General features: G+C 48.5%; 1 protein-coding gene across 1 annotated transcript, besides 3 other annotated features; it reads left to right on the plus strand.

The window, feature by feature from the left end:
• The first annotated feature begins 5,797 nt into the window (after positions 1–5,797).
• Positions 5,798–8,549, plus strand: ZCCHC3 (zinc finger CCHC-type containing 3). The gene has a single exon (NM_033089.7). It carries the CDS (start codon positions 5,815–5,817, stop codon positions 7,024–7,026), a length of 1,212 nt encoding a protein of 403 aa, NP_149080.2. The 5' UTR covers positions 5,798–5,814; the 3' UTR covers positions 7,027–8,549.
• Positions 5,902–5,991: a silencer, noted in NCBI's record as "silent region_12560". NCBI's record gives its function as "represses an Ori minimal core promoter by ATAC-STARR-seq in GM12878 lymphoblastoid cells {active_cell/tissue: GM12878}" and the evidence as "EXISTENCE:reporter gene assay evidence [ECO:0000049][PMID:35858748]".
• Positions 6,172–6,241: a silencer, noted in NCBI's record as "silent region_12561". NCBI's record gives its function as "represses an Ori minimal core promoter by ATAC-STARR-seq in GM12878 lymphoblastoid cells {active_cell/tissue: GM12878}" and the evidence as "EXISTENCE:reporter gene assay evidence [ECO:0000049][PMID:35858748]".
• Positions 9,433–9,727: a silencer, noted in NCBI's record as "tiled region #12860; HepG2 Repressive non-DNase unmatched - State 14:Gen5'". NCBI's record gives its function as "represses a minimal TATA promoter and a strong SV40 promoter by Sharpr-MPRA in HepG2 cells {active_cell/tissue: HepG2}" and the evidence as "EXISTENCE:reporter gene assay evidence [ECO:0000049][PMID:27701403]".

The following is a 15,551-nucleotide window of genomic DNA, read 5'->3' on the forward strand; positions in this document are numbered from 1 at the left end:
GCCCCCTCCCTTCCAGTCTCATGGTTTTGAATACCATCCGTACCCAGATGCCTCTCAGACTCACGTCTCCATCCTCCCCCTGAATTCCAGCCATGTACATCCAACTGCCTGCTTGGGCCCCTTATAAGCAACTCTAATGTGCAATATTTTTCCAGAAACATTTTTCCCGAACTTAAAATAGGGCATCTCTCTTCTTGGAATCATCCTTAACTCATCTCTTATCCCACATCCATCAGCAGATCCTGTTGCAATAACTTCAACGTATATCTGGAATAGGACCACACATACACACACACACACCCCTCTTTCCTTTTGTACCCCAACTAAAGTACTAGTTCCCACCCTTGCCCTACACCAATTCTCTCTCTACACACCAGATTTGCTAGATAGAGCACGGATTTAAAAGAGAATTCCAGTTTAAAAGATAATTGGGCGGGAGCAATAATTTTAAATCACTTAAACTTCAATAGGGGAACATTGCTATAGAATACCATGTCAGAGCTCCCAACCTTTTCTGCCTCTTAAAAATCACAGGAGAATGTGTTTAAATGCACTGTGGTAAATAGAAGCAGCTGCTAGGATAAAAAGCAATTAGCCCAGGTACTCTGGCTATTCAGGCCCCTCCTGGCTGACCCTAGAGCTGAGGGAATCACTGTGTTGGGTACCCTCATTTGCAGAGCACACCATATGACAGCACTCTTGCTGGGCAACTCTGTACCAGGAAACCATTAAAAAGTAAAAGATAAAGGCCGGGCACGGTGGCTCACGCCTGTAATCTCAGCACTTTGGGAGGCCGAGGCAGATGGATCACCTGAGGTCAGAAGTTCGAGACCAGCCTGGCCAACATGATGAAACCCCATCTCTACTAAAAATACAAAATAGGATTAGCCAGGCGTGGTGGCGGGTGCCTGTAATCCCAGCTACTTGGGAGGCTGAGGCAGGAGAATTACTTGAAGCAGGGAGGCTGATGTTGCAGTGAGCCAAGATCACGCCACTGCACTCCAACCTGGACAACAATAATGAAACTCCATCTCAAAAAAAAAAAAAAGTAAAAGATAGGAATACATGACAGATCCAGGTAGTGACTTACTCAACAGCCATTCCTCCCCATCATCGCAACTATTGGATCCTGATCTTGTCCATGTATGCACTTGCCTTAATGGAGGCAGGCCCCAGGTCCAGCCCTAGTCCTAGTCCCAGCTCCAATAGTCATGACTGTCTGAGGCTGGACTTGGTGAGCCAATTTCCCTTTCCAGTTAGAGGTCTAGTCATAGATACATGATGAAAGTCTGGCTAAGAAGACAGGATGAGAAATCTACTCAAAGGCTTTTGGGAAAGGTTTTCATCACACTTTTAAAAAAAGGCATTGCAGAAAAACATTCCTTCATCTGCTGGTAGACATTGTCATATCTGTGTGGGATTCCTGGAATCGCGGAACTGTGAGGGGAGTTGGCCAAAGAGGATATACAGTGAATGGTAGAGAGGAAAATGTAAAAACCTTCTTCCTTGATAGCACTGTTGAGCCATTAAATTAACCAACCCTAGCCTGGCACAATAGTATGTGCCTGTAATACCAGCTACTTGGGAAGCTGACGCAGGAGCATCGCTTGAGGCCAGGCATTTGAGATCAGTCTGGGCAACATAGTGAGACCACATCTCAGAAAAAAAAAATTTTGTTTTAATTAGCCAGATGTGATGATGTGCACCTGTAGTCTCAGCTACTTGGGAGGCTGTGGTGGGAGGATTGCTTGAGCCCATGAGTTTGAGACTGCAGTGAGCTATGATTGTGCCACTGCACGCCAGTCTGGGCAACAGAGTAAGATTCTGTCTCTAAAAGAAATTAATTAATTAAATTAACCTTTCACCTATCTAGAAAATACTTGAGATTAAATAAGAAATCACATTACTGGGTGAGCAAATTTGAGTTGAGTTTTCTGGTACTTGCAGACCAAAAGCATTTTACTGAACCCTACGTCTGGAGGAACAACAAGATAGAAGGAACCTGGGTGGGTCCCTGACAACCTTGCAGGAGAAAGTCACCTACCTGTCCTTACTGCCTGCCAAATTCCGAGCTGCTTCATCAAAGAGAAATAAACCTCCACCTTGTCTGAGACCCTGTATTTGAGAGTCCCTTTGTTACAGTAGCTTAACCTGTACCTTGATTAATACAAAGAAGAGCTTGGCCACTGTCAGACAGCCTTCCTCATCAGACATGCTGACCCAGCATGGACACCCACTGAGAGCTGCCTGTGCCCCACATCTCAGGTACTTAACCAGTAATATTACTGCCTCCCACTTCAATTTTTTTTTGTTTTTGAGACAGAGTTTCGCTCTTGTTGCCCAGACTGGAGTGCAATGGCATGATCTTGGCTCACCACAACCTCTGCCTCCCGGGTTCAAGTGATTCTCCTGCCTCAGCCTCTCGAGTAGCTGGGACTACAGGCATGCGCCACCACAACCGGCTAATTTTGTATTTTTAGTTGAGACGGGGTTTCTCTATGTTGCTCAAGCTGGTCTCGAACTCCTAACTTCAGGTGACCCGCCCGCCTTGGCCTCCCAAAGTGCTGGGATTACAGGTGTGAGCCACCGCACCTGGCCCCACTTCAAATTTTTAAAAAAAATACATAAAAACATTTGCAAAAATGCTGCCATCTTAATCAAAGCCAAAACACACTTGAGGGGCCACTGACAATCACCTGTAACAAAGCTGTTGGAACTGGGATTGAATCAGATGGGGTCCATTTGCACTTACACCTGTTCAGGTGGCATTTCTGTGTTCACGAACACCTGATGGAACTTCCTGCCCCCAGGATAGGTGGGCAAGATGAGCTGGCCTTTCCTCCCTGCACATGTGAGGTGATAAATGTGATAGAGGGCCTCTCAGGCCTGCTTGGCTCCAGGCTCAGCAATGGCAACCTGGGCTCTGATTCCATCAACATCTTGCTGAGAGGTGGACTAGGCTGAGCAGGCAGTCTCGGGCTTCCATCCATGTCATTTGATGTGCTGGCTTTGTGGCAAATGTGCACAGCATCCTAAACCCACAATCCCTACTGTTGTCACTGGGTAAGATGCCGTGGTTCTTGTGGAGACACCTGCTATACTCGACATAACAAGATCCTAGACATTCCTTCTTATCATCTGCACAGCCCTCCAGAGCTGCTCTCTCCATACGGCCTCAGTGCCCATCCGGACTGCTCTCCTTGCAGGGTACCTGCCTGGCCCCTGTAGCTCCTGATGTAATAATCTCTGCAAAATTTGACCTGGAAAAAATGAAACTGACCAAAAGGATGGCCCTACACATACCAATGAAATTGTACAACAGAAGAAGATATGATTAGCAAAATTGGACATGGAGCCAGAACCTAATCCACAAGTCAAATATTTTCAAAATACAGACAGATGCCTTTAAAGTCCAACACAAAACAAAAATGCTCAAAATACGTTGATTATATGAGAGTTCCTGACTAGTGCAGTAAGACAAGAAAAAGTATAAGATTTGAAAAAAGAGACAAAACCTTCATTATTCACAGACGATATGATTGGCAATACAGAAAAGTAAAGAGATTCCAAAAACCACTGGAAATTTTTTAAGGTTTCAACTTTGTTGCCAGATATGGGGTCAGTACACAAAATTCAATCGTGTTTCCTCTAACGGACACCAACAAACCATATGTAACTTCTGATTTACAATAATTTCACTTACAATAGCAGTCAAACCACGTGGTACTTTGGAATAAATCCCCAAAAGTATGTAAGACCTTTATGAAGAAAACTATAATATTTTATTGAAATTCATAAAATAAGGCCTAAATAAGTGAGAAATCAAGTGGGGTCATTGATGGAAAGACTCCGTGTTATAAAGTGGTAATTCTGTACAAATGCAGTGCAACGCCAATTAAGATCTCATAGTTTCCTGGAACTTAGTAGGCAGGTTGTGAAATTTATATGGAGGTTCCAAATATAGCTGAGACCATCTTAAAGAAGACGAAAGAGAGAGAAGAATGTTTCCCATAAAAGAAGAAACTGGAGTTCAGATTTCTCTTTGGAAACTGAAAGATCCCCCCACAGTGGACCCTCACTTCTGGAGAGGAATATTCAGCTACAGTTGACTAGCAGTTGCCCCTTCAGATAGAATATTCGATCTCCAGTTCACCCAGTATATCTTCTACTTAAGGCACCTGCCTGACCCTTGCAGATATTTGATTATGTGATAGTTACCTGGAGTGAGGGCTTAAGATAAGAGGAATGGAAGAGATTGTTTAAAATACATCTATTGTTTGGTTGTGTAAGTATTCTCCTCATGGTGAAACTTGACCAGGCAAGTAGAAAGAATAACAGAGAAGTATGTGAATCTAAGACATTGATGTTTCTGGTAATGGTGAAGTTCCGAGTATGATCACGGGAATGCGTGGCTGAGAAGGGATAAAGGAAATGGTGCCTGAGGATATAAAGTGAGAGGACTGGAAAGTGCAAACGGCCCAAGTCAGTGGCTCCCCTGAGACCAATACCAGCAGTTGGGATGAAGGGAATCTGCCTGTTAACAAGGTTTCCTAGGATCTGATGCACAGTTCTTGATCCACGGCGTCAGAAATAAAGTGGTTAAATAAATATAAGCTACCGGCCGGGCGCGGTGGCTCACGCCTGTAACCCCAGCACTTTGGGAGGCCGAGGCGGGCGATCACGAGGTCAGGAGATCGAGACCATCCTGGCTAACACGGTGAAATCCCGTCTCTACTAAAAATACAAAAAATTAGCCAGGCGTGGTGGCGGGCGCCTGTAGTCCCAGCTACTCAGGAGGCCGAGGCAGGAGAATGGCGTGAACCCGGGAGGCGGAGCCTGCAGTGAGCCGAGATTGAGCCACTGCACTCCAGCCTGGGCGACAGACCAAGAGTCCGTCTCAAAAAAGAAAGAAAGAAAGAAATATAAGCTACCTATACGTGGGGCTGCCTATTAACTCCGCCAAGTGACTTAACTCCTGCCTCTTTATCTGTAAAATGGGCATAATTACAGCATTGTTTTTGGAAGATTCCATGTAATAAAGTCTGAAGTGTGCTTAACACAGTACTGGGAACTTAAGCAGCACTCACACTTCATCCTAAATACGACGAAAGTCTTTTCAAAAAAATAAAAATTAATGCAATATGACTTACTTGGAAATGTATCAAAAAATAAAGACCGATGAATGGATCGAGGCGTAGTGTGACAGAGTAAAATTTTAATGATAAAAAGTTAATGGTAAAATGTTCACTGTAAAACTTTCAACTTTTCTTCTTGAAAACGTGCATAATCCGACGTGGGAAAAAAAATAACGCATTGCAGTCAGTTCTGGGGAAACGGAAAGCTAAGTTTTAATTTTGCTATTGCTTTTGCTTTTTTAACAGAAAAGGTACAAAAAAGAAAAAATGGGAGAGATGTTGCCGAACTCCGTCCCGCCTGTGGGCTGTGGGCCGTTAGCAAAGCTGCTAGCATGAAATCGTCGAGCACCGCTTGCGAAACGCCAAATCCTCGAGAGCGAGGCCGGAGGCTGCCAAACCCGCGCTGGGGAAAGGGCCGCCTCCGGGCGCCCCATCCCGCTGCGGACGGAGGTGAGGTTGGAGCGAGCGCTGGCGGAAGAGAGGCTCAGCGCAGGGGGCGCAGAGCCGGCGCTGGCCAATATGCGCCGCATGTGATACCTTTGAGGGCGCGGCGGGGGAGGGTAGCGTCAAATTTCAAAAAAAAAAAAAAACCAAACCCACACAGCCCCGGCGGGCGGGCGCGCGCGATGGGCGCCCTTTGGCTGCGGGAGCGAGTGGAGGATGCTGGGAAGGAGGTAAAATGGCCACCGGCGGCGGCGCGGAGGAAGAGAGGAAACGGGGGCGGCCGCAGCTTCTGCCCCCCGCGCGGCCCGCGGCCCGGGGCGAGGAGGCCGACGGCGGCCGCGAGAAGATGGGCTGGGCCCAGGTGGTGAAGAATCTAGCCGAGAAGAAGGGCGAATTCCGCGAGCCGCGGCCGCCGCGGCGGGAGGAGGAAAGCGGCGGCGGTGGAGGGAGCGCCGGGCTCGGCGGCCCCGCGGGCCTGGCGGCGCCGGACCTCGGCGACTTCCCACCGGCTGGCCGCGGGGATCCGAAGGGCCGTCGGAGAGATCCGGCCGGCGAGGCGGTGGACCCCCGCAAAAAGAAGGGCGCTGCGGAGGCGGGCAGGAGGAAGAAGGCCGAGGCGGCGGCGGCCGCCATGGCGACCCCGGCCAGGCCCGGCGAGGCCGAGGACGCGGCCGAGCGGCCCCTCCAGGATGAGCCGGCGGCGGCGGCAGGCCCGGGCAAGGGTCGCTTCCTCGTCCGCATCTGTTTCCAGGGAGACGAGGGCGCCTGCCCGACCCGGGACTTCGTGGTAGGAGCGCTTATCCTGCGCTCCATCGGCATGGACCCGAGCGACATCTACGCGGTCATCCAGATCCCGGGCAGCCGCGAATTCGACGTGAGCTTCCGCTCAGCGGAGAAGCTGGCCCTGTTCCTACGCGTCTACGAGGAGAAGCGGGAGCAGGAGGACTGCTGGGAGAACTTTGTGGTGCTGGGGCGGAGCAAGTCCAGCTTGAAGACGCTCTTCATCCTCTTCCGGAACGAGACGGTGGACGTGGAGGACATTGTGACTTGGCTCAAGCGCCACTGCGACGTGCTGGCCGTGCCGGTGAAAGTGACCGACAGGTTTGGGATCTGGACCGGGGAGTACAAATGCGAGATCGAGCTGCGCCAGGGGGAGGGCGGGGTCAGGCACTTGCCAGGGGCCTTCTTCCTGGGGGCCGAGAGGGGCTACAGCTGGTACAAGGGGCAGCCCAAGACATGCTTTAAATGTGGTTCCCGGACCCACATGAGCGGCAGCTGCACGCAGGACAGGTGCTTCAGGTGCGGGGAGGAGGGGCACCTGAGCCCTTACTGCCGGAAGGGCATCGTGTGCAACCTCTGTGGCAAGCGAGGACACGCCTTTGCCCAGTGTCCCAAAGCAGTGCACAATTCCGTGGCAGCTCAGCTAACCGGCGTGGCCGGGCACTAAACACCCGCCTGCCTGCCAGGGTGAACACACAGCCAGCTTATCCCTCTTAAGTGCCAAAACTTTTTTTTAAACCATTTTTTATCGTTTTTGAAGGAGATCTTTTTAAAACCTACAAGAGACATCTCTCTATGCCTTCTTAAACCGAGTTTACTCCATTTCAGCCTGTTCTGAATTGGTGACTCTGTCACCAATAACGACTGCGGAGAACTGTAGCGTGCAGATGTGTTGCCCCTCCCTTTTAAAATTTTATTTTCGTTTTTCTATTGGGTATTTGTTTTGTTTCTTGTACTTTTTCTCTCTCTCCTTGCCCCCCTCCCGCCCTCCCCGCCCCATACCTTTTCTTCCCCTGGATTTTCACCCTTTGGGCTGCCTTGCTCATCTTTATGCCCCAGCACTAGGTACGGGGCCCAACACGTGGTAGGCACTCCATCAGTGTTTGCTGAATTGAAAACATTGTTGACTGTGGCTTCTATCAGAGTGTCTACCTTTTGCAGCTCTTCCCCTCCCTCATTTAATTTGCTGCTTTTAATCTACGTGGTCTGAGAATTTGTGAAACCAGTGTTGTTAGAAGTGTATATAATCTGAATCAATAAGCTCTGAATGGTGGCCAAGGGCCTCTCTTATGGCACAAAGATGCATGGACTTCATGACAGCTCTTTTGGTGGCTCAGAAGCCATTTTTTATAGAATCATGGAATCTAGAATATTCCTGCTGGAAAGAACCTGAGAGTTGGTTTGGACCAATTCCCTGGTTTTCCAGCAGATGAAACAGGCCCAAAGAGGTTAAATGACTGGGTGAAAATCACATAGCTGTCTGGTGCCAGAGCCAGCCTATAGTAGAGTCCCCTGACCCCAAGCCCGGTGCTCATTCCACTACCTCTCACACTTCACAACAATTTCCTCAACACTTGAGGGCCCAGAAAGTCTGATCTCTCCAGAATGATCAGCCCAGAGGAATGCTGAGAAATCACCTGGAGGAGGGAGCAGAAAGAGAAGGTTTTTAAGGAGGGGCTTCTGAATACTTGGGAGATACGGAACGGACCAAGGACCACACTCCAGGGTGCATTCGTTGCTCCCTGGGGCACCACTTCTGGATTACAGTGTGCCAGGTCCTTTGGAGGCCCTACCCCTTCCCCATTCATTGCCACCAGTGAGAAATGGGGGTGCCCCTGTGTAAAGAAACCTACCAAAGGTTTACATTTGCACCTTAGCCTCAATAGCTACGAACCCTAGAGAAGCAGCTAGCTGGAGCTCATGTGCAACTCCTGATTCTCAGGAGAAAGATGGATTTTAACCCAAAATTATGAGTGAGCTGTTAACTCTAAAATGTACTTGGGAGATAGGCCAAGCGAGAGGTCATGGGCCAACTAAGTGTTATCCAGTAGAAAAGACAGTACACTGCTTTTCTTTTAGTGTTTGCTTTTCCTTTGCTATATGTTTTGCTATTTCCTTGTGGCTTAGAATGTAAAATTGATTGTTAAAAGTTTTGTTCTGAATAAATATTTATCTTTTGTATTGCTAAAACTGGTGCACTATTTCCTTTCAAAGTGTTAGATGCACAGTTACCCAGCTCCAGACCGTATTTCAATCCCACTTCCCCTACACTCCATTTGTTTACCTTGCTAAATACATTTCCCACCCCTGCAGGCAACACTTAGCACCTACTACGTTGTGCCGGTCCCTTTGCATCACAATCAGCACACTGTTAAAACGGGTTTTAAGTCCTAACACAGTTCCAATAAATCAGAATCACTGTTAGAGGAAGTGAAACATTTTAGTTAATCATCCTCAAGCAATTCTGATGGGCAGCCAGGTTTGAGACCAGAGTATAAGATGTGTGAGCTGAACCCTGCCCTCAGGGAGATTACAGACCTGTGGGAAAGAGAGGTGGTTTGCCAGCTTCCTCGTCTTTCTGTTACTGTAAGCGCGCGCTGTGGATGGGATGCAAAATATTCTTGGGTTCTGGGAAAATGCCATTTCTTCCAGCTGTTGAAAAAGCGGGATCCAGGGAGCTGACTTCTCCAAGTTAGCCCCCACTGGAGACTGGGCCTGCAGGCAGAATAGGGTCAAGGTCCCTGGACTTCAGGTCCAATACCCTGCAGACCCCAGATACAACTCTCTGAAGGATTTTCCAGCTGGTGATGCTAGGATGATCTGATCCTGAGAGTTAAACGTTCCCAGTATATTGACTCTGACTCAGTGATTTGAGGATATTTCCAGAGCTGATCTGGAGTTGGGACCTGGTAGGCTCTTGGGAATCCTGTCTTTCAGAGCCAGTTCAACCCCTCTCCTTGTCTCCCAAAGCAAGCAGACTCTCCCCTCCCTCCCATCCCTCTTTCCCGTCTTTGCCAGCGGTTTCCCTCCCTCTCACAGAGCTGGAGGCCAGGGGCCAGGAGAAAGCCTGCATTCACCATACTCTCCACTCCGTTCCTCAAAGCAGGCACTGTGCCAGGGAGCCTCCTTGAAGGAACCTTCCCTCTCCTGGCCCCATCCCCCCACTCTCCAGGAGGGAGGAGAGGAAGAAACTGTTTCCCTGCCCATCCCCCACAGGATCTGCTTCAAGGCCTCCTGCCTGGTGGCCCAGGGACAGCCAGGGGCTGGAGCTGAACAAACCTCCCCCAGCTTCCTTTCCTGATCAAGCAGCCCTCAAATTACAATTCTTCACTGTTTTTGGGCTCCTGGAAAGTGTGCAGAGATGCCCGGACTGAGGCTGGTTGACTAGGGGACATTGATTCATTCCACTTCAACAAATACGGAGGGCATTAGAGCTGGGCCCCATGCAAGGCCCTCTGCATAGGCTGCCTTGAACAAGACAGTGCACTTGCAATGGAAGGTACAGATAAGTAACAGTAGGCAATGTTTACAATCATATATTTAACAATTTTTTTTTGAGACAGAGTCTCACTCTGTTGCCCAGGCTGGAGTGCAGTGGCATGATCTTGGCTCACTGCAACCTCCACCTCCCGGATTCAAGCGATTCATGTGCCTGAGCCTTCCAAGTAGCTGGGATTACAGGCACGTGCCACCACGCCCGGCTAATTTTTGTATTTTTAGTGGAGATGGGGTTTCAGCATGTTGGCCAGGCTGGTCTCGAACTCCTGACCTCAGGTGATCCACCTGCCTCAGCCTCTGAAAGTGCTGGGATTACAGGCGTGAGACACCGCACCCAGCCAACATTTGTCCTGTATAGAATTGTCTGAAGTAAAGGTTTCCCTAGAAGAGAAAACGTCCTGACTGAAACCTGCAAGATGAGTAAGAACCAGGCTAAGAGTGAAGAGACAGCCAAGCAGCAGAAATAGCAGATGTAGAGGCCTGGAGGCCAGAGAGCACACAGCGTGTTCGGACTGGCCAAGAGTCAGGGGAAGATGTGGCTGGGAGAAAACGCCGAGAAGAGGTGTCACAGGGCTTACCAGCCATATTTAAAAACGTGGATTTTGTCCTCAGAGCCTCCAATCAGGCCTCCTCCATTCCATTCATTCTTTCAACACATGCCTGTTAAGCGCCAACTCTATAGGGGCCTTTTCTAAGCGATGGAACACAGCATGGAGCAGGATAATCAAGTCCCTGAAGCTCAGATTCTAGAGTCACACAAGTACATAATTACAGACGATGATGCACTAAAAGAAACATACAGGGTGAGATCCCTGTTTAACAAGCAAAGCTGATCCAGTCTTAAGGATCAGAGAAAATGTTTGAACTGAGATGGAAAAGACATAAAAGGAGTTAATCGAGAGATGGGGCTGGGGATTAAGGGATGGCAAGGGTATTAACCTAGGCAAGAGGGATAGCAAGTAAAACAACCCTATAGTGGGAGGAGGCATGACCACTTCTAGAGACTAAATGAATCAGTCTAAGTTTAGAAACAGAAACCACTCTTGCTGTTGAAGAAAATGCTGGTCCCTGGGCTGGGTATTAGGAATGACTCCTAGAACACCATAGAACTGCCAGGGGAGTTACTACCTCTCACAGTCAGAAAGACAGAAGCCAGGAGGCCACCACTGGAAAGGCTGAGCATGAGGACACAATGGTGAAGCTGCCACCCAAAGACAGGATCCTGGGATCAGAAAGTCACTGCCAATGCCACTGGCAGGACAGTGAAATGCCAAGTCCTTTCCCTGCCTCTACAAAGCCAGGGACTGTGCACTACTGTCTCCGCAACCATTTACAGGTAAAAACAGCCCAAACTGTCTGGCTTACTTATGCCTCCCTTCCATCTTTTATGCAAATACATCTAAGTGCTAGAGCCCTAGCTGCAAGGGAGTTGGGAGATGTTTTAGCTTTCCAGCATCCGCAACATAGGAAGGCACATAGAATGGGGATGGGTGCTGTCTGTCAAAAGACAATATCCAGCACAAAAAATGTGACTGCAGTGCAGAGAAGAGGAGCTCGTGGGAGCATCTGGTAGGCCATGTTAAGAATGTGGGTCTAAGAACGATGTGCCATTGAAGGACTTGCAAGCAAGAGAGTAACATGATTAGATTGGTTATGTTTTACAAGCATCATTCAGGATAGTTGGTGGAGACTGGGTCAGAGGAGAGCCCAAGGGGAAATACAGTATAGTTCACCCAGGTCTCTCGAGAGATGAGGACATCTTAGGCATGGAAGGCGGAGATGTACAGAGAGAAACAGCCGAGTAAAGAAATCTTTCAGAGTTTAAGTCAACAAGATTTGGAGCTATATTTGACATGGGCTGGGAGAAAGTTAAGTACCAAGGATGTTGCCCAGGTTTCTAGCTTCTGCAGTTGGATGGATGGTGGGGCTTTTCCCTGAGATGCGAAACAGAAGAGAAAATCCAAGTTTAGGGTGAAGGGCTTGAATTTGATTTTGGATATATTGAGTTTAAGGTCTCCGTAGAGGATATCTAAGAGGAGATGTGGAGTAGGCGGTTGGATACACACAGATCTTACATTCCTAGGAGAATTCTGGCCCTGAGAAATAAACACAGGAGTTGTACAGCTGTGGCTTTCAAACTGTTTTACCACATCCCACAGTAAGATATATATTTTACATTGCAGCCATCATACATATGCATGTGTGTATTTATATCTAAATCTGAAATAAGCTTCCTCAAACAATATTTGCCCTGTGCATGATGCACCTTGACACTTTCTATTCCATTGCTTCATCCTTTTGTCAATGCTTATATGACGTGTTAAACTGATTTCACACTCTCCTAATGGTCAAGAGAGAAAGCAGAAGGAAAGATTATACCAACTAAGATTGTGCCTCAAGCAACTTTGACACAGTTTTCCCTGATGGAAAAGGAGATGGTGAAAAACTAATAAGGGACAGCCAGAAAGGGAGAAGGAAAACCAGAACGTGCAGAAACACATAAACCAAGGGAGGACATTTCAGGTGGTAGGGGTTAACAATTGTGTCAAGGGCTGCAAGAAATCAAGTAAAATCAGCTCTAAGAAATGTCAATTGAGGCCGGGCGCGGTGGCTCATGCCTGAAATCCCAGCACTTTGGGAGGCCGAGGCGGGCGGATCATGAGGTCAGGAGATTGAGACCATCCTGGCTAACACAGTGAAACCCCGTCTCTACTAAAAATACAAAAAATTAGTTGGGCGTGGTGGCGGGCGCCTGTAATCCCAGCTACTCGGGAGGCTGAGGCAGGAGAATGGCGTGAACCCAGGAGGCGGAGCTTGCAGTGAGCTGAGATTGAGCCACTGCACTCCAGCCTGGGCGACAGAGCGAGACGCCGTCAAAAAAAAAAAAAAAATGTCAATTGAGATCAGAACTGAAGAGTGCCCTAGGATTGAGTAGTGTGGAGGTTATCAATAAGGGCCTTTTAGAGGAAAGTGATGGGGGCAGATTAAGGAGCAAATGATCTTTCTAAGATGTCAATCTGGCACGCTGACCATTTTATTCCCATGTCACGTCCTCTGGGACTCCCTTGTGCACTTGGAACCCAGCCTGGTACCCGATCCCTTTCACAAGAGGCTCCTGGACTCCTTTCCAACCTTACTCTCAGCCAGATTGCCCATTACATCCCTTTATGTCAACTCCAGTTACGGCTGACAAACAGCAACCAGAAAGAATTTTGGAGTATGGAGTGGTACAAGACCAAGCTAAGGGGCCAGGTGCAATGGTTCATGCCTGTAATCCTAGCACTTTGGGAGGCCTAGGCAAGTGGATCGCTTGAGGTCAGGAGTTCGAGACCAGCCTGGCCAACATGGTGAAATCCTGTCTCTACTAAAAATACAAAAAAAAATAGCCATGTATGGTGGCATGCACCTGTAGTCCCAGCTACTCAGGAGGCTGAGGCAGGAGAACTGCTTGAACCTGGTGATACAGGAAGGGAAGTGCTGGGAAGGGAAGGGCACAGTCCCTTTAAATGACATGGAAGGGAGAAAGGGCGTGGTCCCTGGCTAGGGCTCCACCCCAGCCTGTGCCCATGGACCTAGGTGAGGACAGGCATTTTTGTTTTCCTGCCCAAATGTTGCATTTCCCAAGACCACCCTGGCCGGCCACGCCCCCATCCTGTGCCTATAAAAACCCTAGCAGGCAGACACACAGGTAACTGGACGGCTAGAGGAGCACATCAGTGGAGGAACACACAAGCGGCTGGACGTCGAGAGGAACGCACCGACAGGCACTGACAAACCAGCACACCACAGGCCATCGACCAACAGAACTATGCAGAGTTTGGCTGGGGCAGTCGGAGGGGAGCCTGGGCCACTGAACAGTCCAACTCCAGGGGAAAACCTTCTCACTCCATCCCCTTCTGGCTTCCTCCATCTGCTGAGAGATACCTCCACTCAATAAAACCTTGCACTAATTCTTCAAGCCCAGGTGTGATCCAATTCTTCTGGTACACCAAGGCAAGAACCCAGGATACAGAAAGCCCTCTGTCCTTGCAACAAGGTAGAGTGTCTAATTGAGCTGGTTAACACAAGCCACCTATAGATGGCAAAACTAAGAGCATACGGTAGCATAAGCCCATTGGGGCTTCAGGAGCTGTAAACATCCACCACTAGACACTCGTGGGGTCGGAGCCCCACAACCTGCCCATCTGTATGCTCCCCTAGAGGTTTGAGCAGCGGGACACTGAAGAAGTGAGCCACTCCCCTTGTCACACGCCCTGGGACGGGGACAAGGGAACTTTTCCCGTTTCAGTGGGAGGCAGAGGTTGCAGTGAGCCGAGATTGTGCCACACTGCACTCTAGCCTGGGCAACAGAGCGAGACTCCATCTCTAAATAAATAAATAAAAGGACCAAGCTAAGGGTGAGGAGACGTCAGATCATGCTGAGTTGAGGGTGGGGGCGCCACAGGAGTGCACCAAACGTGTACAAAGGCACTGATACATACAGCCCCATTTGCTGGCTTGTCAATGTGACTAAGATTTGGGGTAGGACATAGTAAAAGAAAATAAACACAGATATATTATGGAAAAGAATGTAAACTTTGCAGAGTTTTAAATAAAATATGACTTTTTTTTTTTTTGAGGCAGGGTCTCACTTTGTTAACCAGGCTGGAGTGCAGTGGCTCACTGCGTGGCTCGCTACAGCCTACAACTCCTGGGCTCAAGCAATACTTCTGCCCCAGCCTCCTGTGTAACTGAGACTACAGGCACACACCACCACACCCAGCTAATTTTTTCTTTCTTTCTTTTTTTTTTTTTTTTTTTTTTTGAGACGGAGTCTCACTCTGTTGCCCAGGCTGGAGTGCAGTGGCACAATCTCGGCTCACTGCAACCTCTGCCTCCCGGGTTCACTGTGGATATATCCCCTCCCGGGATATATCCATCACTGTGCCTGGCACAGCTGCAGCCTCCCAAGTAGCTGGGACTACAGGCACCCGCCACCACGCCCGGCTAATTTTTTGTATTTTTAGTAGAGATGGGGTTTCACCGCATTAGCCAGGATGGTCTCAATCTCCTGACCTCGTGATCCGCCTGCCTCGGCCTCCCAAAGTGCTGGGATTACAGGCGTGAGCCACCACTCCCAGCCTCTCTCTTTCTTTCTCCTCTTTCTTCTCTTTCTTTCTTTTCTTTTTCTTTTCTTTTCTTTCTTCCTTCCTTCCTCCTTTCCTTCCTTTCCTTCCCTTTCTCTCTCTCCTTCCTTCTTTCCTTCCTTCCTTCCTTCTTCTTTCTTTCTCTTTCTTTTCTTTCTTCAGGGTCTCAATATGTTGGCCAGGCTGGTCTTGAACTCCTGCCCTCAAGTGATCCTTCCACCTTGGCTTCTCAGAGTGGTAGGATTACAGGTGTAAGCCACCACACCCAGCCCAAGAAAGATTTTATTTTATTTTTTTATACAGACAGGGTCTTGCTATGTTGCCCAGGCTAGACTCAAACTCCTGGACAACATAGCAATCTTCCTGCCTCAGCCTCCCTAGTAGCCAGGTGTGCACGGAACAAATTATATGTATTAATATGGAACAATCTCTAAGACACATTATTAAATGAAAAAAAGCAAGATATGGTATCCTACAGTTTACATTTTTTAATGTTGGAATAAATACATACATACCCTCAGCACCATAGGAAAGATTTTAAAAAAGAAAAAATATATATACATATGCT

This window comes from Homo sapiens, chromosome 20 (assembly GCF_000001405.40).
Source record: "Homo sapiens chromosome 20, GRCh38.p14 Primary Assembly".
Classification (NCBI taxonomy): Eukaryota; Metazoa; Chordata; class Mammalia; order Primates; family Hominidae; genus Homo; species Homo sapiens.

Coding starts and splice junctions, on each gene's coding strand:
- ZCCHC3 (NM_033089.7), top strand. CDS start 5,815: ATGGCCACCGGCGGCGGCGCGGAGGAAGAGAGGAAACGGGGGCGGCCG.